Raw genomic sequence first — 22,616 nt, forward strand, 5'->3', positions numbered from 1 at the left:
CTAGAAGTTAATTCCAGCTCAGTCACCACACTGTAAGCAGCATGTGGGTCTCTGGCCAGTCCTGGCAGGAGCCAGGACAGCATTCGTATTGTATGCTAATACATGTGCATTAGAGTGCCACCTGTCACCAGGGGCCTACTGGAATTTGTATGCCTTTGGAGTAGGAAGGCTGATCTAAACGAGCGCTTCTAATGTGGTTGAATAAACATATATGACATGTCTACTCAGGCAATCGCATCCTGACACTAGGAGAGGTCCCAAAGGATCAGGTCTATGCTCTGAAGCTCAAGGGCATCTCCATCTGCTTCTCCATGCTGAAGGCTGCTCTCAGTGGGAGTTACGTCAATTTCGGAGTCTTTCGTCTCTATGGAGACGATGCCCTGGACAATGCTCTGCAGACCTTCATCAAGCTGCTCCTCTCTATTCCTCACAGTGATCTCTTGGTAAGCCTTACGCTGCATTGCCACAATCTTGTTCCTCATCACATTCAGCCTTTTTCACCTGAGACCAAGATTGAACACTGCTCTTGAGAAACTATGTAAGCTAGCTCCTTTTGCTCTAACTAAGTCTTCTGTTTTCCCACCTAAAAGGAGCTAAGCTATTTAAGATCGTCTCCCTGCATGCTGGAGTGCATAGTGCCTAAGCTGATTTTCTTCCTCTTCCTCTCCCACAGGATTACCCCAAGCTCAGCCAGTCTTATTATTCACTACTGGAAGTCCTGACCCAGGACCATATGAACTTTATTGCAAGCCTGGAACCTCACGTCATCATGTATATTCTCTCTTCCATTTCTGAAGGACTTACTGCACTTGGTAAGCACCTGAGGTGGGTGGGTGAGTTGGTGGGTTTGTTTTTTACCACTTAACTAAACAGAAAGAGAGAATCTTGCCCCAGTGTCCAAAAAGATCACCACTGCCTTGGGGGTTTGGCCATAACAATAGAGTATATAATGCACAGCACATGCTTATCCAGCACACACTCACTGATTCCCTTCCTAAGTACAAGGCCCTGTGGAAGCACTGAGGATACGGTAATTAACAGCATATAGTCCCTGTCCTTAAGGGGCTTATCTGGTGGGTAGAACAGACACATGAACAAACAACTGCCTGTTTACCATACTTACCACTTAAACATTACAATAGGGGTGAGTACAAAGTGCTACACAAGCCCTCAAGAATACCTAGACTCTTGGTTGTGAGGAAGTCAGGATCAAGGAAGACTGGCTGGAAGACTTGGCATCAAAGCATAAACCTAAAAGCTGGACAGATGTTACCCTGGTTAGCCAGGGAGGGTTCCTAGCAGCAGAGACAGCAAGCACTTGCACCTGTAGGCAAGAAAGAACCAGGAAATCCAGATGGCTGGCACACTAGTCCAGAGGAGTTAGGAATGAAATGAAGCTTTAGAGATAAGCAGGAGCAAATCTGGAGATCATGAAGGGGGCCCGCCTGTAAGCCGTATTAGGCTGTTTGAATTCTGTCCTGAGGGCCGTGGAAGCTGGGGAAAGGTTTCATGCAGCTAGCTCCATAAGTTTTTTCATCCTAGTCCATATGGTTTCTGTCAACCATTTTGTTTCTAGGCTACCTTCCAACAATTTTTTTTTTTTTTTTTTTGAGACGGAGTCGCTCTGTCGCCCAGGCTGGAGTGCAGTGGCGCGATCTCAGCTCACTGCAACCTCTGCCTCCCGGGTTCATGCCATTCTTCTGCCTCAGCCTCCCAAGTAGCTGGGACTATAGGCGCCCGCCACCATGCCTGGCTAATTTTTTTGTATTTTTAGTAGAGACGGAGTTTCACTGTGTTAGCCAGGATAGTCTCAATCTCCTGACCTCATGATCCGCCTGGCTTGGCCTCCCAAAATACTGGGATTACAGGCATGAGCCACCGTGCCTGGCCCAACAATCTTAGTAGGTATATGTGTTCAGAGAATAAAACACATTTTTATATTAGGCTGAGCAAAACATAAGTAGGAGGATTAAGTCAACTGCCAAATAGTGATGATATGTTGCAAATACACTTTTGGATTGTCAACTGTGGTGAATTATCCATGCCTCTGTGCGACTTTGATACACATTTACTTCTATCAGTCTATCAGGGTGCATAGCCGTATCTAGTACAGTCCAATCAAGGTATCAGCCCTTGCTTTGGAAGACTTTTTTATGTCTTATTGAAAATACAGGGACCTGGCCGGGCGTGGTGGCTCATCCCAGCACTTTGGGAGGCTGAGGCGGGCAGATCACAAGGTCAGGAGCTCGAGACCAGCCTGGCCAATATGGCAAAACCCTGTCTCTGTACAAAAATTAGCTCGGCGTGGTGGTGTGTGCCTGTAGTCCCAGCTACTCTGGAGGCTGAGGCAGAAGAATCACTTGAACCCGGGAAGTAGAAGCTGTGGTGAGCCGAGATCGTGCCACTTCTGCACTCCAGCCCGGGCGACAGAACGAGACTCCGTATCAAAAAAAAAAAAAAGAAAGAAAAAGCAAGTAGAGGGACGTTTGCATAAACTATCAGTCCCGTAGGAATCAGAGACTTGTTTACTCTTTTAAGGGTTCAGCCCCTTTGTCCTTTGGCCTTACCTCATCAGAGTTCTGTCCACAGGTTGTGCTGTACTGTTCCCTTTGTAAAGACGCATAGATGAGTCTGCAGCTCCCCCCAGAGATGCTTTGGAGATAAACAGATAATACAGCATACCGTGTTCTAACAAACCATAAACATTCAGGGGCTACGTCATTCTGGGTTTAATTACATCCCACTGGTAACTCAGAGCATAGGCTCATACCCCAGGCTTCTTGGATTCTAATCACAGCTCCTGCAATTACTAGCAGTTGATCCTTAGGCCGATACATAACCTCTCCTAATTCTGGTTTCCTCATTTGTAAAACAGAAAACCTAATTCCTGAGTTCTTGAGAGGATAAATTAGAGATAACACCTATAAAGTACTTAGCACAACATCTGGCACAAAAGAAGCACTTGCTGAATCAAACTATTTGTTATTTTGTGTGAGGCAGAAGATGTACGTACATCCACAACACATTGAGCCGATAATTTCAGTATTCTTTATTACCACATACTCACTTTCAAACTTAGAAATTGAGCCCTACTGTACAATGAGGTTAAGAGGTTAACAGGAGTCATCTTGAGCAACCGCCTTGGTTGAATTGGCCACGGTACCCTAATGGATCTCACCCAAAGATAGTCCATATTTGTCCAGGCCACCATCAGCAGCTCTGTCCTACCCCTGCCTTTCTTTCTTGCAGACACCATGGTATGCACAGGCTGCTGCTCCTGCCTGGACCACATTGTGACATACCTCTTCAAGCAGCTGTCACGTAGCACCAAGAAGAGGACCACACCCCTGAACCAGGAGAGCGACCGCTTTCTGCACATCATGCAGCAGCATCCAGAGATGATCCAGCAGGTAAGAAAGTGGAGGCTTAGGAGGCAGTGATGGGGTGTCCGACAGAGGAAGGACCTCTGCAAGACAGGGGAGCCCACACACGATTAACATGACATCTCATCAGGTTCCTGCTGCTGAGATGAAGTCCGTGTCTTAAAGTTGCAGTGGATTTTGAGTTTGCCAAGTAATCACTGGATGTAGAAAACGCTCAGGTTCTGGATTATTCTTCTGAGTGTCACAGTGATCCCTATGCCCTGGACCTGTCTCATGATCACTATCCTCTTTCTGTGAAAATTACTTTGCTCACCCACTGCTATAAATAGAGCAGGAGTTAGCAGCATCCAGCTTTCTAAAGGCTTGTGTTCCTGTTTACAAAACAGGAAGAAGAATGCAAGACAGAAGGAAATAACTGGCCACAGAGAGATCAAACCATATGCTTGCCCTTATTTTATTTGTATGTGCCTTGAAGTAACTTACAGAAATACATGCTAGATGAAAATAGATAAGGAAATGGGATCAGTAATTATTGAGATTTTAGCCAGTCTTACCTTTGTCCACACCGTTCTCTAAAGAAGCAGTGAAATAATTCAGGACTCCATTACATTCACAAGATGTCATAAAGCTGTCAACTCCGAGTACCTGGAAGGGATCATGCAAGGTGGTTTTGCTTACTGTAATTTTGTTTACGTGACCCCATCCCATTCCCCACAACTCAGGGTGACCTGGAAAGATCCATTGGTAAGTGAAGTTCAAACCAATTTTAAGAACAAGAAAGGAAATGAATATCTTAGAAGAAAAGGTAACCTTGAAATAGAAGACTCAGATGAAGCTTCACAAACTATTTGTCTGATTTACCCTATACAGAAAAGGCCTTCAGCCTAATATACTCCTGTATTTGGAATCTGTCGTTTTATCTTGGGTAGCAATACATTAGGTCACTGCCTGAAATTCTCCATTCCATTTTCAGATGCTGTCCACGGTGCTGAACATCATCATCTTTGAAGACTGTAGGAACCAGTGGTCTATGTCCCGACCACTACTTGGCTTGATATTGCTTAATGAAAAGGTGAGAGAGCCAGCTCCCTGGTGCCAACCCAGAAGCAGTGGCAACCACGCACTTGGTATCACCAAGCCCTGGGAGAAATGTGTATAGAAACACCCCACGGTGGTGAAACAGGGAAAATGGGTCATTTACTGAGCAAGTCCCATTTGTGCTTTCAGTATCACATAATCATTTAACTGTTAGAAGTCAGCATGTGTGGTAGCTCACAGACACAGGATAAAGGAGTGTTTCCCCTAGGCAGTAAGAGAAACCTTTCAAGGAAATAATGTACCTGGGTATCAGAGGACCTAAGACCTAAGTTCTAGTTCTAGCTCTGCTATAAACAAGTCTTGAGATTCTGGTAAAAGAAAGGTCTGGATAAGATGACCCTTTTAAAGTGCTTTACAATTTAAAAATTCTTGATATTCTTAGTAGGATGAAGCCATATTATCCCACAAGTGCTTGCCTGAATTTCTTTTTTAAGGGTCCAATTTTAGTAGACATTCCATTCCTCCTTAGAGAAGAACATTCTTCAACCCTGCAGATGACGGAGGGCTAATCTGCCTTCCCCTGCTTCTCTAACCTTCTGTTCCACTCCTTGCCCCACAGTATTTTTCTGACCTAAGAAACAGTATTGTGAACAGCCAGCCACCGGAGAAGCAGCAGGCCATGCACCTGTGTTTTGAGAACCTGATGGAAGGCATCGAGCGAAATCTTCTTACGAAAAACAGAGACAGGTGAGTATAAAGCGTCCTGCCTAGAAATCTCAGACAATTGCTATTTTTCAAATCAACGAAACAGGCAGTTGCTTTAAAGTCTTTGACATCTGTGTTTGGAGGCCATCTAAAGCAATGCAATGCAATAGAAAAGTGAGCCATGTTAAACAGGCAAAATTCATTTTAATAATATATTTTATTTAACCCATTGTATCTAAAATATTGTATCAGTGTGTAATCAGTATTTTAAAATTGTGGGTTTTCACATTCTTTTTGTACTACATTTCCAAAATCCTGTGTACTTTACATTTAACAGCATATCTCAGTTCATACGTTTTCATCAGAAATACTTGATCTGTATTTAGATTTCATAAATTTACAGTTGACAAAGTAGATTCCTGTAATACCCAGATTGTTTCAAACACACCTAGGGACTTTCCAGTAACTGCATTGAGTATCTGGGCTTTGCAATTAACTTTTAAATTTTATTTAATTTTAATTAATTTAAAACAAGGCATTTTAATTTAAAATTAAGATGCAGTTGGGGAGCTGAATGTTAAATTGTATTTAATTTGGATTCATGTTCTCAGTCACACTGGCCATAATTCAGGGGCACGGTAGCCATATGTGGTTAGCAGCCGCCCTATTGGACAGCATAGCACTGCACCACCTGGTCTTGCTGCATTAAGAAATGAGATGGCTTCATTGGCTTACTGCCCTCACGTGTGAGGGCAACTTCCTACTTCTGTCAGTGAGATTTCTTTTGTGCTGCCATGAGCCCAAGGTAGCCCTCAGGGCCCCAGATTTGACCAGATCTCTAAGCCAACTTTTCTCTTAGAGTCTTAAGACTGAAATTAACTGATCTTTGAAACAGAACCCATCAATTCATACATTCTACTTCCCATGCTTTAAAAAAAAAAAAAAAAAAGGCAAATACCTTTCCCCCCCACTCTCCTCCCCCAACCCACATGCATCCTCTCTGCAGGTTCACCCAGAACCTGTCAGCATTCCGTCGAGAAGTCAACGACTCAATGAAGAATTCCACTTATGGCGTGAATAGCAATGACATGATGAGCTGACACCTCCTTGGACTCTACCTGTACAGAGCAGCGTCCCTTTGGTTTGGCCCAGAGGGGCGAACAATTGCAAGGGAGAGGGCCTGGCTGATCCTGGCTCTTTTCTCCAGGGGTGTGGGGAAAATGGCAAAGGTCAACTAGCTGCTTCCCCAGGGAATAGGGGTGTGAGTACACTCACTAGGGGGCAGGGCGCTGCTGGTTCCTGGGGGACTGGGTGGGAAGGGTGGTGGGAGGAGATAAGAGATACAAACTGAGACTCCAGCCTCTCCTCCTGGGGCCACCCAAGTGGGGAGAACCCCTAGTGTCCTGCCACAACCTGCCTTGTATAAACATGTACATTTTTTCATAACATTTTGAACAAGGTTTATATTGACTCAAGTTTAAAAACAAAAAGTGTGACTGAAAAATTTTTACAGAGTCTAGTGCACCAATGCTGATGTGAGGGGTTGTGTATGCGAGTGAAGAAAATGTGTATTCTGGTGGCCTGAAGCTTTACTGGACAAGGATGTGTGAGAGTGCAGAGATATATTTAGTGACACAGTAGAGAGGCAAAAAAAAAGCTAAAATTCCAAATGTATATTTTTTCGTATTGCCCTGTCCTCACCCAGAAATGATCAATTCCTGTTACTGTATTAACCCTTGTTATTAGGAACTCTAAGCCATGCCAGAACACCGTCCCTCCCCTTGGACCGTGTAGATTCTGCCCTGGGTCCCTAGCCCCTTGCAGTGATAAATAACTCCAGCTAAAAGTGTTTGGTGTTCTTATCTCCACCCTCTTTCCTACTTTGCTTACCCTCATCCTCAGACAGATGCCTCTTGCTTTTAAAAGTTGGATTTAACGACGTGTTGTAGGGTTCTTGGTCTGTGTGAAGGCAGAGACCAGAGAGAAGGAAGTGAGCCCACTGCTCTCCTGGGAGCAATGTGGGTGAGTCCACCAGAGGCCCTGCTGTGTGTGGCCAATAAATTTTAGTCTTCCCCAGCCCTCGAGGCAGTGTGTGTGGATGTATGCGTGTGGATATTTATATATGTACCCTGCACTCATGAATGTATGAACTGGAGGAAGTTACTACAGTGGAAGGGTTCTTAATAACAAGGTCTACCTAGCATGAAGTATTTAACATTCTCCCATCCCTTAAAAAATATACATTTTTATAAAATGAAAACCATAATAAATGTTTTGAATATTAAAAAAAATAATAACCTACAGAGGAAAATTAATGGAGACAGCTATTTGCCTTGTACTTTTTCCACAATTGTTGCTGCTAGTTGTACACATCTCTAGTTCAGCTCTTGCCCACGGGACACTCATCAATTAGGTTTTATTTTTATTTCTTTCCTCTACCCCCAGAAACAAGCCTGTTAATTTTTTTTCCTTCTCCTCTGGCGACTGTGTGATGAATCCTTTCTTGCGTGATCAGGTTGCGGATAGACTTGTAAGGGTGTTTGCTGCATACAGTGTAAGCATTGTGACCGCCAATAAACTTCAATGGTTTCTACTGACCTGGCTTCAGCAATCATGTCCAGTGTGCGTCCAAGGACATGTCTCACTCAAAACACATGAAGCTGTGTGAAACATTCTTTAAAAGCCCGTGAATGACAGGGGCCCCTTCACCTGATCAAATTGACTTGTTTCTCATTGCACAGAGTCTGACTCAGTTTCTTTCAAAAGTATAATATGATTGATATATCTCTGTCAACAAAACCAGTCACATGCTATTGTCCATAGCTATAAAGCACAAGCCATTCTACCTCTCTGTTAGCTTTCAGATAATAACATGGCTACTGGCAGACAAGTAGCAATTGAAGAAAGCCCAGTGTTTTAATGTTCTGACATCAGCTTCTCTGATGTGGGCTGAGTTTCATTCATTAGACTATGACAAGTTCAGGGGCAAATGTTATCCCCCTGGAATACGTTGCAGACCTCACAGGCCAGATTTATCAAAAGAGGAACACTTGTTAACAGAGACTACTTCTAAGGCCTGCACTGTGTATTCAGAGTACCTGAGTATGAGGAAATTTGATTGCCAGAAACACAGAAAAGTATTAAGATACAGACAGGTATGTGTACCTTAATGCAGATTTCCATCCCATGACTCTTGGGTGCCAGGGTGCCATTCTTGTCTGCATTATGTAGATGTACCACTACCTTTGCAGTTTCAGCCTTCTGGGAACTGCTATAGCTGCCTCAGTCCTAACTTATTTCAAAGGCAAAAAAAATTCTGATGGCTACAAGGCAAATGGAGTTGATTAATCTTAGCTAAATTCCATCTCTAAGCCTAACATATTAAATGGTGAGTTTTCATTAATATGCATATACTTCTGACACATGCCCCAGAGACCTGGAATTCTGATTCTATAGTTAGGTGACACAAAAATAACTTTCTCATGGATACTTAAAGAGAAGTCCCCTTTCCCCCAACTGCTTTGAGATGCTGATTAATCAGCAAAACCCCAGACCTCTCCCTTCCCTGGGCAAGAAACTCACCAAAGATGGTGGTCTCCTCATTACAGCCCTGAGTGTAGTCCAATCACAAGGAGCCATGATTAAAATCTTCCACAGCTTCATCAGACTTAAACAGTGAAGCTGTTCCCTCCTCTGCCATGGTTAAAATCTTCCACAACTTCATCAGACTTTTTAAACAGTGAAGCTGTTCCCTCCTTTGCTGACAATTCAAAGAGGGGGCACCAAATCACCTTTTGGTCAAAAATGGTCAGTTAGCAATTTCATATGATTCAACCTAGTAAATGTAATAGTTGGTTATCTTTAGATTTTGGTTTCCCCAGAAATCATGAGATTTTATTCAGTCAAAACAAAAGTGTATTTGGGAATTTCTAGGCTTATTCCCCAGGCACTGTGTTCATCAAGTCAAGTGTCTTTAGATAGTGTTTCCTGACACAAACTGTGCCTTACATTGAAAACGTTCTTTACTACAGATTATTAAATTGTGTTTGTATGTGTTTTGTTGGCTCAGCCCAAGTAAGGGTTATCTATTCCCACTAATGTGTAAATCAGACAAAGGAAGAAGGGATTTGGCCCAAGATTGCAATTTTAAGTTTTTAAATTTTAAGAAGTAATGACTTTGGGCAGAAGTGTCCATTTTCTAATGACAAGTGACAACATAAGAAATAAGTTTTTCATTCTCTAAAACATTGGCTTTATTAAGGGACTTTTTCCCCTCCCCCCAACTCCCCACTGGAAAAAATGTTTTAGTACCTTTTGAAATTTCAACTAAGTACATCAACAGACCACTTTCCAAAATATCCATGCTTGTGGGGTAACATGAATTAAATCTAGAAAGCCAGAAAAACTCCCTATATCATATTTGCCACCAGCCAACCCTGTCCAGGCCAACCCTAGCCCAAGATTTCTGGCTAGACCTACAAGCCTAAATTGACATATAATGCTGCCAAAACTCTCGAATGCCAAAGGAAATATAGTTATAGGGACCCTGTAAAAGCCACAAGTTTGTTGATTAGGCCTTGAAAAATGTAAGTGATTATAACTACTTAAAAGTCCTGGTGGTTCTTTAAATATTTTTTAAGTATTTGAAAGGATGAAAATGTGTTCATCAGCCATAATTAGATACTAGGTCATGTGTAAAAAGATTCTTGCCTCTGTAGCTTGTCCTCTGGGTCCATTACATTTATCTTGGGTGTCTTCACCCTGAACTCACTGGTCGCCTGCCACTTGGGTGCTTTTCAGGAAGAGCAGATCAACTAAAGGAATCAGCTGCCAGACAATGGGACGTGAGACTGTCAAGGTAGAGGATGACATCAAGTTTGGAAAATCATTCCCCTTCCTCAGAAAAGCCTTCTGGTTCTCAGGACAGCCTGACTGCTACCCTTTGTCATCTGTTCATCAAATACTTATTCAGCATCTATTATGGGCCAGGTATCTTTTTGATGGTCAGGAATGGAAAAGGAAACTCAAAAGCAGAAAAAGTCACTTGCAAGGCAAATTTGCCTCCATTCTTCTGTTTCATGATCACTCAGTAATACAAACTGACTCTAAAACATAGTAAACAGTACTTACAAAAGCACCATGCACAATTATTTTAATTCTACTTGATAGCCATGAAGACAACTCAGCGCACTTAAGCATACGGCAGCATGCATATGGCCTAAAAGAATGGCAAGTGGGGAATCTCCTTACCCTTGCTATTGAATCACAGAGTTAGCAAGTCAGAGCCTCTGGATTCGAGGTCTGGAAGACAGACTCACAGGATACAAACTAATGGACAGTGGATAAAAACTTATGTAAAGCTCAGAAGGGCCAATAAAGAGTCTAACAGTCACTCCCTACAGCTAGTGAAAGAGTGGGAGAATGTAAGAGCCGTGGTCTCAGTCAGAAAACCCAAACCTCTCCCCAGCTGACTATACTGTGTAATGAAGGTAAAGCATCCTCTCAAGGCCAAATTAATTCAACTGGAAAATGGTTGAGAGTGCCAGTTTAAGATGATGGAAACAAAACGACTTTTAAGTTTAGAAGAATGCAAGCCGTTATTTCATTAGGAAACTAGGTATCTACCCTTTTAACACTTTGCAGTCCAGGGCATGTGTCACAAGTTAAAAACTTTATCAGCCAAGCTACGAATGCTGCACCAGAATTCATACATTCAACTATGTGGATGCAACTGCCATCTCTGCCTCCACATCCTACCCCCGGCCTTTGCTGGTCTGCAGAACCCTCTCTTCTCAGTCTAAATTTACATGCCCTTTGCTCGCCTACGCTTTTCTAGACCCCAAATCGGACCTAATCCTTCTCAAGTCTCCCCTTACTGTGCCCATTCCTAAGAGCCTTAGGGCCCACCTACTCTTCTGTTTGGAGTGTTCCTAACCCCAACCCCTGCCTGTCCCAGTAGCCAAAGTGTGCTTCTTACGAGCTGGGCCCAGACCATGGTGTCATGACCAGCGACAAGGATGTGCAGTTTCTGGGGAGTGTACAGTAAGGGGAGCGGTGGAATTAATTTGGGTGAAGCCCCTGCAGAGAGACGCCAGACTGGTTTATGCAGGTTAACCCTCACATCGCTGCCATAGCTCGCTACGACAATGAAAAGAGCAAAAGCTATTGACACCATCCCGCCTGCACCCTGCGAAAGAAAGGGAGAGTTTGCACCCCACCTGGCCTGACCTCCCCGACAGCGCTGCAGCCCCGGAAGTAATTTCGCGAGTTTCTTCCGCCGGAAGGTGGCGCCTGCGCACTCAGGTGTCCACGGCCTCTGTTCCGGCTCTCCCCCAGCTTTCGCCGCCGCGCGCAGGCGCAGTCCAGACTCGGTCCTGGCCGGGGGTTCTAGTGTTGCCGCTGGAAGAGCGAGGTCTTAATTGCTTTGCGGGAGCGTTCCTGGGGAAGTCCAGAGCTGGGTTCCTGCGGCCCTTGGGCCCCCACGGCGCCGTGTGCCTGGCAGAGGTTCGAGTTCACACGCACCGTGGCTTGCAGCAGGCAGCCGCAGTGCTAATCAGCGGCGCTGTTCCCGGGCTGGGTGCAGCTGCTAAGGACAAGGCCCCTGCTCCGAAGAACGCGGTGGCTCGGGGATACCCTGAAAGGGACGGCCATGGCGCACATGGGATGCCCTAGGGTTCGTGGGAGGGCATGCAGGCGCAGCCCCCGCAGGGGTTGGCCTGCCAGAGAAGGCAGGGGAGAGCACTCGGGGCTGCACAAATGGTGTGGCCGGAGGGAAGGTGCAGCCTTGTGTGTGTCTGGATGAGGGCTGGGCATAGGAGCTTGGTATTTGATCCTGAAAGCTCTGCGTTTCCAAAGGCCACTTGGCAAAGCAGCCTGGTGACCAGTCTTTGTTTAGCCCACCAGCTAGTGGGGAATACGGACTTGGACCAAGACAAAGACTGCGGGGATAGTTGGGCGATGTTAGGAGAGGAGGGCTTTGTGATCAGTTGCATTTGGAGTAAAGAGGATTCTGGTATGATTCCCACGTTCCAGGATAGAGCGCCAACTGAGTCAGGAAGAGGGAGTGTGGAGCACTTTGGGGATGAGGGTGCAGGAGAGAAGGCGCCGCGCTGGGTGAGCCTAATTGGGACTCCCATCCAAAGAGAATTCCCTGCTCTTGCAGGCAGAGCGCTGGGGAGATTGCTACAGAAGAAAATGCCAGTCCCACAAAAGTTCGGAAAATAGTAGAAAGGGGGCGACGAATGGTGGCTCATGCCTGTAATCCCAGCACTTTGGGAGGCCGAGGCAGGAGGATCTCTGGAGCCCAGGAGTTCAAGACCAGACTGGGCAACATGGGGAGACCCCGTCTCGATTTTTCAAAAATAAAAATAGTGGTAGAGGGAACACTTCCCGGCTCACTTTGAAATAAGCTGTTTCCAAACACCAAAACCACAGACATTAAAGAGAAAAACAAAACCTTTTTAGACCACTATCCTTCATGAACATAGATGCAAAACTCCTTAACAAAATAGAAACAAGTCAAATGCAACAGTACATTAAAAAAAGTGGCTGGGTACAGTGGCTCACACCTGTAACCCCAGCACTTTGGGAGACTTAGGTGGAAGGATGACTTGAGTTCAGGAGATGGAGACCAGCCTAGACAACATAGTAAGACCCCATCCCTACAAAAAATGAACAAGACTCATGAGCATGTTGGCACTTGACTGTGGTCCAGCTACTCTGGAGGCTGAGGGGGGAGGGTCACTTAAGCCCAGGAGGCCAAGGCTGCAATGAGTTATGATCCCAACACTGCACTCCAGCCTGGGTGGCAGAGCAAGACCCTATCTCAAAACCAAAAAACATTGGCGGGGAAGGGAAGGCATATAAAATGACCAATGGGATTGATCCTAGGAATGCAAGGTTGGTTTGACTTTTTTTTAATAAATGTAATTAACCACATAAAGGATAAGTAATGGATCATCTCAATAGATAAAGATGTGACAAAACTTAATATCCATCCATGATTAGAAAAGAAAAACTCAGGAAACTAGGAATAGAAAGAAAACAATCCAGTAAAAGACATCTATGAAAAACCAACCATTAACAACATACTTAAAGGTGAAAGACTGATTCCCCTAAGATCATGAATAAGGCAAGGTTGCCTATTCTCACCACTTCTATTCAGCGTTGTGCCAGAGGTTCTAACCAGAGCAAAAAGGCACAAAAAAGAAATGAAAGGCACACAGATGAGAAAGGAAAAAGTAAAACTGTCTTTATTCACAGGTGTCATGATTTGAGGTGTAAAAAAGCTACTGTAACAAGGGAATTTAGCAAAATCACAGAAGGTCAACATACAAACAATTTTATTTCTTTATACCAATGATAAACAATTACAAGGTGAAATTTTAAAATATGTACCTGAATCTTAGAATATTTTTTTTAAAAAATTAATTGGCAAAATATATACCATTTGCTGTGGCATCCAAAAACATGAAATACATAAGAATAAATTTAACAAGATATGTGCCATATCTGTACACTAAAACCTATAAACCATTGCTGAGGAAAATTAAAGATTTTAATTGGTGTAACATGTTTGTCGATTGGATGAATACAGTTTGTGATGTCAAGTCCCAATAAAAATCCCAAGAGGTTTTTTTGTAGCAACAAGTTGAATCTTACATTTATATGAAAATGCAAAGAATCTGGAATAACCAAAACATATTTGAAGTAGAAGAAGAATCCTAACTCATGCTACCTAATTTCAAGGTTTACTATAAAGATATAGTAATGAAGACAGTGTGGCATTGACACTAGGATAGGATAGACATACAGATCAGTGAAGCAGAATAAAGTCCAAAAGCAGAATAACATATGAGCTTGATTTTCAACAAAGATCCCAAAGTAATTCAGTAGGAAAAGATTATCTCTTCCAAAAATAGTACTGGAGGAACTGGATATGCAGTTGAGGGGAAAAATAAACTCTGATCCTTATCTAACACCACACATAAAAGTTAACTTAAAATGTATGATAGATGTAAAAGGTAAAATATTTCTAGAAGAGAACTTAAAACAAAAACAACTTTCATTACTTTGAGTTAAGCCAAGATGTCTTAAGACACCAAAAGCATGAGCCATAAAAGAAAAAAAAGAACTTCAAATTTTCTGCACTTCAAAACACACTATTTTTAAAATGAAACTGCAAGCCACAGATCGGAGTGAAAAAAATATTCGAACATATATATTTGACACAAAACAGGTATCTAGTAAATATAAAAAAAAGAAGGGCCAGGTGCAGTGGCTCACACCTGTAATCCTAGCACTCTGGGAGGCCAGGATAGGAGGATCCCTTGAGCTCAGGAGCTCAAGATCAGCCTGAGCAATATAGTGAGACCTCATTTCCACAACAACAACAAAAAAGTTAATTAGCCAGGCATGGTGGTGCATTCCTGTAATTCCAGCTACTTGGGAGGCTGAAGTGGGAGGATCACTTGAGCCAGGGAGGCAGAGCCTGCAGTGAGCCATGATGTTACCACAGCACTGCAGCCTGGGCAACAGAGCAAGGCCTTGTCCAAAAAAAAAAAAAAAAAAGAAAAAAGAAACACATACACACACACAAAACTCACTAAGAATAACCCAACTTTAAAATGGACAAAATAGTTGAACGTGCATTTTGTAAAATAAGATTTACAAATGACCAGTAATCACGTTGAAAAGAAACTCAAAATCACTTGTCATCAAGAAAATGCAAATAAAAACTACAATGAAATGCCACTATACATCCACTAGAATGGCTAGAATTAAGAACACTGAATGCCAAGTGTAGGCAAAGATGTAGAATAATTAGAATTCTTATACATTGGCTGGGTGCGGTGGCTCACTCCTGTAATCCCAGCACTTTGGGAAGCTGAGGCGGGTGGATCACAAGGTCAAGAGATCGAGACCATCCTGGCCAACATGGTGAAACCCTGTCTGTACTAAAAATACAAAAATTAGGTCGGGCACAGTGGCTCACACCTGTAATCCCGGCACTTTGGGAGGCTGAGGCGGGTGCATCACGAGGTCAGGAGTTCAAGACCAGCCTGGACAAGATGGTGAAACCCGGTCTGTGCTAAAAATGCAAAAATTAGCTGGGCATAGTGGTGGGTGCCTGTAATCCCAGCTACTCAGGAGGCTGAGGCAGAGAAGTGCTTGAACCCGGGAGGTGGAAGTTGCAGTGAGGTGAGATTGCGCCACTGCATTCCAGCCTGGGCGACAGAGTGAGACTCCGTCTTGAAAAAAAAAAAGTACAAAAATTAGCTGGGCGTGGTGGCACACGCCTGTAGTCCCAGCTACTCGGGAGGTTGAGGCAGGAGAATCGCAAGAATTCTTATACATTATATGTAGAAATGTAAAATGGTACAGCATAGCCAGACATGGTGGCACATGCCTGTAGTTGCAGCTACACGGGAGGCTGAGGTGAGAGGATCACCTGAGCCTGGGGAGGTCAAGGCTACAGTGAACCATGATCATGCCACTGCACTCCAGCCTGGACAACAGAGTGAGAACCTGTCTCAAATATAAAAATAATAAATAAAAGGGTACAGCATGTCAAAGTAGTTTTGCAGTTTCATATAAAGCTTAACATATGCTTACCACATATCCAGCAATTCCACTCCTAGATGTTTACCCAAGAAAAGTTAAAACATACATCCAAAGGCTTGCTCTCAAATATTCATAGCCGTTTTATTCACAATTGTTTAAAACTGGAAAGTTCCCAAATGTTCACCAACAGGTCTATCTGACAGGGACTTACTGCAAGGAATTGGCTCATGTGATTATGAGCACCAACCAGGAGAGTATGAAATCTATAGGGCAGGCCATCAGGAAGAGCAGCTTGGAAGGGGGAGAGGAGCAAGGAGCTGAAGCTGCAGTCCCCAGGCAGGACTTCAGGAAAACCTCACTTCTGTTCCTGAAGTCTTTCAACTTATTGGGTGAGGCATACTCACATCATCAAGGGTAATTCCTTTAACTCAAAGTCAATGAATTGTAGATGTTAATCACATCTACAGATTACCTTGATAGCAACACATAGACTAATATTTGCTTGAATAACTGGGTCAATAGCCTAGTCATGTTGACACATAACACTAACGGGCAGATGACTGGATAGACCAATTGTGGGATACTCCTCAACCAAAACAAGAAACAAACTGCTGATACAAGCACCAGTATAAATAAATAAATCTCAAACACATTTTGCTTAGCAAAAAAAGGCCAACAAAAAGACCCTGTAGGATTCTACTTATATGAAGTTCTAGAACAGGCAATACTAATCTGTAATGTCAGAAAGCAGATTAGCATTTGCCTAATGCCAGTTAGGCATAGCAGGGGGTGGGGCAGGGGGCATTGACTGCAAAGGGAAACAAGGAAAGTAGGAAGGGACAATGGAAATTATATCTTGACTGGGGTGATGCTACATGGGTGTATACATTTGTCACAACTCATCAAACTATACAGTTAAAATGAATGCAGTTTTTTGGGTTTTTTTAGACAGAGTCTCACTCTGTCGCTGGAGTGCAGTGGTGTGACCACAGCTCACTGCAGCCTCAAACTCCCAAGCTCAAGTGCTCCTCCCACCTCAGCTCCCAAGTAGCTAGGACTACAGGAGCGTGTCATACCACCTGGCTAATCTTTTTTTCCTAATTTTTTTTTTTTTTTTAACGGAGTCTCACTCTATCACCCAGGCTGGTCTTGACCTCCTGACCTCAAGCCATCATCCTGTCTTGGCCTCCCAAATTACTGGGAATACAGGCGTGCGCCACTGTGCCCGTTCAAGTGCAGTTTTTTGTATATAAATTATTTTTCAATAAAGTTAATTTAAAAAGAAAAAGCTAATTCCTGCACAGCAGAAGCCCAGCTCATGCCAAAGAGATAGAGCCAGTTCCTCTGGCACCATTTTAGAAAAGACCACCCAGGCCAGAGCGGTGGCCCATGCCTGCAGTCCCAGCACTTTGGAAGGCCGAGGCAGGCAGATTGCTTGAGGCCAAGAATTTCAGACCAGCCTGGCCAACATGGCTCTACTAAAAATACAAAAACTTAGCTGGGTGTGGTGGTGCATGCCTGTAATCCCAGCTACTCAGGAGACTGAGGCACGAGAATCACTGGAACCTGGAAGGCAAAAGTTGCAGTGAGCCAAGATCACACCACAGCACTCCAGCCTGGGGGACAGAGTGAGACTCCATCAAAAAAAAAAAAAAAAAAAAAAAAAAAAAGGAAAGAAGGGAGGGAGGGAGGAGAAAGAAAAAGAAAGAAAGATGGAAAAGACCTAGACATTTTTCCAAAAAGACAAACAGCCAACAGGTGTATGAGAGGATGCTTCAACATCACTAACCATCAGAGAAATGCAAATCAAATCACAGTAGATATCATCTACCACCTGTTAGGACAGCTATTATTTAAAAAAACAAAAAACAAAAAATGGGCCTGACGCAGTGGCTCATGCCTGTAATCCCAGCACTTTGGGAGGCCAAGGCGGCTGGATCACGAGGTCAGCAGATCGAGACCATGCTGGCTAACATGGTGAAACCCCGTCTCTACTAAAAATACAAAAAAAAAGTAGTCAGGCGTGGTGGCGGGTGCCTGTAGTCCCACCTACTTGGGAGGCTGAGGCAGGAGAATGGTGTGAACCCGGGAGGTGGAGGTTGCAGTGGGCTGAGATCACACCACTGCACTCCAGCCTGGGCAACAGTGAAAAACTCCGTCTTAAAAAAAAAAAAAAAAAAAAAATCGCCCACGCCTCTAATCCCAGCACGTTGAGGCCGAGGCAAGAGGATCACTTGAGCTCAGCAGTTCAAGAGCAACCTGGGCAACATAGTGAGACCCCAACTCTACAAAAAAAAAAATCAAGAAATGTACTGGGCATAGTGGTACACACCTATAGTCCCAGCTACTCAGAAAGTTGAGGCAGAAGGATCGCTTGAGCACAGGAGGTCAAGGTGGCAGTGAGTCGTGATCATGCCACCACACTCCAGCCTGGACTGCAGAGGGAGACCCTGCCTCAAAAAAACAAAACAATTGTTGAGGATGTGGAGAAACAGGAACATTTGTACATGCTTGGTGGGAATGAATGTAAAAGCTGCTAAGGAAAAGAGTATGGAGGTTCCTCAAAAAATTAAAAATAGAGGCCAGGCATAGTGGCTCATGCCTGTAATCCTGGTGCTTTGGGATGCCAAGATGGGAGGATTGCTTGAGGCTAGGAATTCAAGACCAGCTTGGACAACATAGCAAGACCCTGTCTCTCCAAAAAAAAAAAAATTAGCCAGACATGGTGGCGCACACCTGTAGTCCCAGCTACGTGGGAGGCTGAGGTGGGAGGATCGCTTCAGCCTAGAAGTTCAAGACAGCAGTGAGCCATGATCACACTGCACTCCAGCATGAGTGACAGAGTGAAACCTGTCAGCAAGAAAATAAAAATCGAATTACCTGTGTTCCAGGAATCCCACTCCTGACTATATATCCAAAGGAAATGAAATTAGAATCTCAAAGGGATATCTGCACTTTTGTGTTCATGACAGCATTATTCACAATAGCCAAAATATGAAAACAGCTTAAACACCCACTGATGGACGCAGGATATAGAAAATAGTACATACATACAATGGTATATTATTTAGCCTTGAAAAAGAAGGCAATTCAGTCCTCTAGGACAACCTGGCTGGACCTGGAGGGCATTATGTTTAATGAAATAAACCAGACACAGAAAGACAAATGTGCATGATCTCACTCATGTGGGATCTAAAATAGTCAAAATAACGAAAGCAAGGAGTATAGGAATGGTTGCCAGGCACTGGGAGGAGAGGAAAACGGGGAGGTGATGGTCAAAGTGTACAAAGTTTCAGTTATGCAAAATAAATCTGGAGTCCAGTATGCAACACAGTGTCTAGAACTAACAATACTTAGTAACTACAGTAGAATACTTACTATCTGCTAAAAGAATAGATCTTACAGTAAGTGTTCTTAATGAAAAAACACAGGCCAGGCATGGTGGCTCACATCTGTAATCCCAGCACTTTGGGAGGCTGAGGCAGGTGGATCACCCGAGGTCAGGAGTTCAAGACCAGCCTGACCAACATGGTGAAACCTCGTCTCTACTAAAAATAAAAAAATTAGCTGGGCTTGGTGGTGGGTGCCTGTAGTCCCAGCTACTCGGGAGGCTGAGACAGGAGAATGGCTTGAACCTGGGAAGCAGAGGTTGCAGTGAGCTGAGATCATGCCACTGCACTCCAGCCTGGGCAACAGAGCGAAACTCCATCTCAAAAAAATAAATAAATAAATAAATAATAATAATAATAAAGAGGGCAAGAGAAAACTTTGGGAGCTGATGGATATGTTCATGGCCATGATGGTGGTGAGGGTTTCATAGGCGTATATTTATCCCCAAACTCAACAAGATGTATACCTTAAATCTGTACAGCCTTTTACACATCAATCATACCTCATTAAGGTGGTTTTTTAAAAAAAAAAATCAATGAACTTTATATATGGATGAGAAATTTCCTAGGTGGAATTGTAGGGTAAGAATACCAGGAGAGACAAAAACCATATAATCATCTCAATAAATGCAGAAAAAGCATTTGATAAAAGTCTACATCCCTTCATGATAAAAATTCTCAACAAGTTATGCATACACGTAATATGCCTTAACATAATAAAGGCCATATATGACAAACCCACAGAAGGCTAACATACTGAATGGGAGAAAGCTGAAAGCCTTTCCTGTAAGAACTGGAGCAAGACAAGGATGCCCACCTTCACCAGTCGTATTCAACACAGTTCTGTAAGTACTAGCCAGAACAACCAGGTAAGAGAGAAATAAAAGGCTTCTAAACTGGAAAAGAAGGGGCCGGGTGCAATGGCTCACGCTTGTAATCCCAGCACTTTGGGAGCCCAAGGTGGGCAGATCACTTGAGGTCAGGAGTTCAAGACTGGTCTGGCCAACATGGTGAAACTGCATCTCTATTAAAAATACAAATATTAGCTAGGCATGGTGGCTGGCACCTGTAATCCCAGCCATTCAGGAGGTTGAATAAGGAGATTCGCTTGAGCCCAGAAGGCAAAAGTTACAGTGAGCCAAGATCACGCCCCTGCACTCCAGCCTGGGCATCAGAGTAAGACTCTGTCTCAAAACAAAATAAAACAATAGGCCGGGCACGGTGGCTCACACCTGTAATCCCAGCACTTTGGGAGGCCGAGGTGGGCAGATCACGAGGTCAGGAGATCGAGACCATCCTGGCTAACACGGTGAAACCCCGTCTCTGCTAAAAATCCAAAAAAAAATGGCTGGGCGCCATGGCAGGCGGCTGCAGTCCCAGCTACCCGGGAGCCTGAGGCAGGAGAATGGCGTGAACCCAGGAGGCGGAGCTTGCAGTGAGCAGAGATCGCGTCACTGCACTCCAACCTGGGCAACAGAGTGACACTCTGCCTCAAAAATAAATAAATAAATAGGCCGGGTGCGGTGGCTTACGCCTGTAACCCAGCACTCTGGGAGGCTGAGGCAGGTGGATCACCTTAGGTCAGGAGTTCAAGACCAGCCTGACCAGCATGGAGAAACCCCATCTCTCCTAAAAATACAAAATTAGCCAGGTGTGGTGGCACATGCCTGTAATCCCAGCTACTCCGGAGGCTGAGGCAGGAGAATTGCTTGAGCCCGGGAGGTGGAGATTGTGGTGAGCCGAGATCGTGCCATTGCACTCCAGCCTGGGCAACAAGAGCAAAATTCCATCTCAGAAAATAAATAAATAAATAAACAAATAAAACAAAACAATAAAATAAAAAGAAATTGGAAAAGAAGAAGTCAAATTGTCTCTCTTTGCAGACATGATCTTATGTATAGAAAAGCCTAAACAATCCACTGAAAAAACTCCTAGAACTGATAAACAAATTCAGTGAAGTTGCAAGATACAAAAATCAACATATGAAAATCAGTAGCATTTCTATACACCAATAATAAAATAGAAAAGAAATCAAGAAAGTGATCCCATTTACAAGAGCTACAAAAAATAAAGTCCCAAGGAATAAAAGTTAGCCAAGGAAGTGAAGGACCTCTACAACAAAAACTACAAAACACTGATGAAGGAAATTGGAAAGGTCACAAAAAAGTGGAAAGACATCCCATGCTCATGGATTGGAAAAATTAATATTGTTAAAATGGCCATACTACGGCTAGGCACGATGATTCGTGCCTATAATCCCAGCACTGTGGGAGGCCTAGGAGGGAGGATCACTTGAGCCTAGGAGTTCAAGACAAGCCTGAGCAACATAACGAGACACAACAAAAAAATTTTAAAAATTAGCCAGGCATGGTGGTACACACCTTGCAGTCCCAGCTACTCAGGAGGCTGAGGCAGGAGGATTGCTTGAGCCCAGGAGTTCAAGGTTACAGTGAGCTATGATTGTGCCTCTGCACTCCAGCCTGGGCAACAGAGCGAGACCCTGCCTGAAAAATAAATAAATAAATTTTTAAAATAAGAAATAAAAATAAAATTAAATTTAAAAGGCCATACTACCCAAAGCAATCTACAGATTCAGCGCAATCCCTATCAAAATAGCAACGACACTCTTCACAGAAACAGAAAAAACAATCCTAAAATTTGTATAGAATCACAAAAGACTCCAAATAGCCAAAGCAATACTAAGCAAAAAGAATAGAGCTGGAGGCATCACCCTACCTGAGTTCGAAATATACTACAGGGTGGGCAAGCACATGCCTGTAATCCCAACACTTTTGGAGGCCAACGTGGGTGGATCACTTGAGCAGAGGAGTTTGAGACCAGCCTGGACAACATGGAGAAACCCCATCTCTACCAAAAAAAAAATAGTAGCCAGGCATTATGGCACACACCTATAGTCCCAGCTACTTCAGAGGCTGAGGTGGGAGAATCACTTGAGTCCAGGAGGTGGAGGCTGCAGTGAGCTGAAATTGCTACTGTACTCCAACCTGGGACATAGAGCAAGACCCTGCCCCAAATATAAATATAAATATTATACACTACAAAGCTATAGTAACAAAACAGCATGGTATTGGTATAAAAACAGACACAGACCAATGGAAAAAAATGGAGAACCCAGAAATAAATCTATGTACTTACCACAAACTGATTTTTTGACAAAGGCACCAAGAACATACACTGGGAAAAGGACATCTTCTTTAATAAATGGTGCTGGGAAAACTGGATATTGATAAGAAGAAGAAAAGTAGACCCCATCTGTCATCACATACAAAAATCAATTCAAAATGGATTAAAGACTTAAACATAAGGCCTGAAACTATAAAACTACTAGAAGAAATCCTAGGGGAAATGCTTCAGGACATGGGTCTAGGCAAAGATTTTATGGCTAAGACTTCAAAAGCACAGGCAACAAAAACAAAAATAGACAAATAAGACTATATTAAACCAAAAACGTCTGCACCGCAAAGAAACAGTCAACAGAGTTAAGAGACAACCTGCAGAATGGGAGAAAATATTTGCA

At 43.5% G+C, this 22,616-nt stretch overlaps 1 protein-coding gene across 4 annotated transcripts in view, besides 5 other annotated features; it reads left to right on the plus strand.

Moving 5' to 3' along the window:
• The window catches only part of XPO7 (exportin 7), an 86,924-nt gene extending 79,201 nt beyond the window's left edge, over positions 1-7,723 (plus strand). For all 4 annotated transcript variants that reach the window (NR_156173.2, NM_001100161.2, NM_015024.5 and 1 more), the window contains 6 exons: positions 229-443; positions 674-812; positions 3,250-3,410; positions 4,357-4,455; positions 5,041-5,168; positions 6,133-7,723. Coding sequence is in view for 3 of the 4 variants with exons in the window: in NM_001100161.2 (NP_001093631.1) it covers positions 229-443; positions 674-812; positions 3,250-3,410; positions 4,357-4,455; positions 5,041-5,168; positions 6,133-6,226 (836 nt within the window). In the remaining variant the exon portion in view is untranslated. The remainder of the gene's footprint in view (positions 1-228; positions 444-673; positions 813-3,249; positions 3,411-4,356; positions 4,456-5,040; positions 5,169-6,132) is intronic.
• Positions 11,141-11,800: an enhancer, noted in NCBI's record as "NANOG-H3K27ac-H3K4me1 hESC enhancer chr8:21867514-21868173 (GRCh37/hg19 assembly coordinates)". NCBI's record gives its function as "activates a minimal SCP1, AML or CMV promoter by ChIP-STARR-seq in naive and primed H9 embryonic stem cells {active_cell/tissue: H9 hESC(naive and primed)}" and the evidence as "EXISTENCE:reporter gene assay evidence [ECO:0000049][PMID:30033119]".
• Positions 11,436-11,565: an enhancer, noted in NCBI's record as "active region_27072". NCBI's record gives its function as "activates an Ori minimal core promoter by ATAC-STARR-seq in GM12878 lymphoblastoid cells {active_cell/tissue: GM12878}" and the evidence as "EXISTENCE:reporter gene assay evidence [ECO:0000049][PMID:35858748]".
• Positions 11,686-11,765: an enhancer, noted in NCBI's record as "active region_27073". NCBI's record gives its function as "activates an Ori minimal core promoter by ATAC-STARR-seq in GM12878 lymphoblastoid cells {active_cell/tissue: GM12878}" and the evidence as "EXISTENCE:reporter gene assay evidence [ECO:0000049][PMID:35858748]".
• Positions 11,801-12,459: an enhancer, noted in NCBI's record as "NANOG-H3K27ac-H3K4me1 hESC enhancer chr8:21868174-21868832 (GRCh37/hg19 assembly coordinates)". NCBI's record gives its function as "activates a minimal SCP1, AML or CMV promoter by ChIP-STARR-seq in naive H9 embryonic stem cells {active_cell/tissue: H9 hESC(naive)}" and the evidence as "EXISTENCE:reporter gene assay evidence [ECO:0000049][PMID:30033119]".
• Positions 11,806-11,855: an enhancer, noted in NCBI's record as "active region_27074". NCBI's record gives its function as "activates an Ori minimal core promoter by ATAC-STARR-seq in GM12878 lymphoblastoid cells {active_cell/tissue: GM12878}" and the evidence as "EXISTENCE:reporter gene assay evidence [ECO:0000049][PMID:35858748]".

The sequence above is a fragment of the Homo sapiens genome, chromosome 8, assembly GCF_000001405.40.
Source record: "Homo sapiens chromosome 8, GRCh38.p14 Primary Assembly".
NCBI classification, from domain to species: Eukaryota; Metazoa; Chordata; class Mammalia; order Primates; family Hominidae; genus Homo; species Homo sapiens.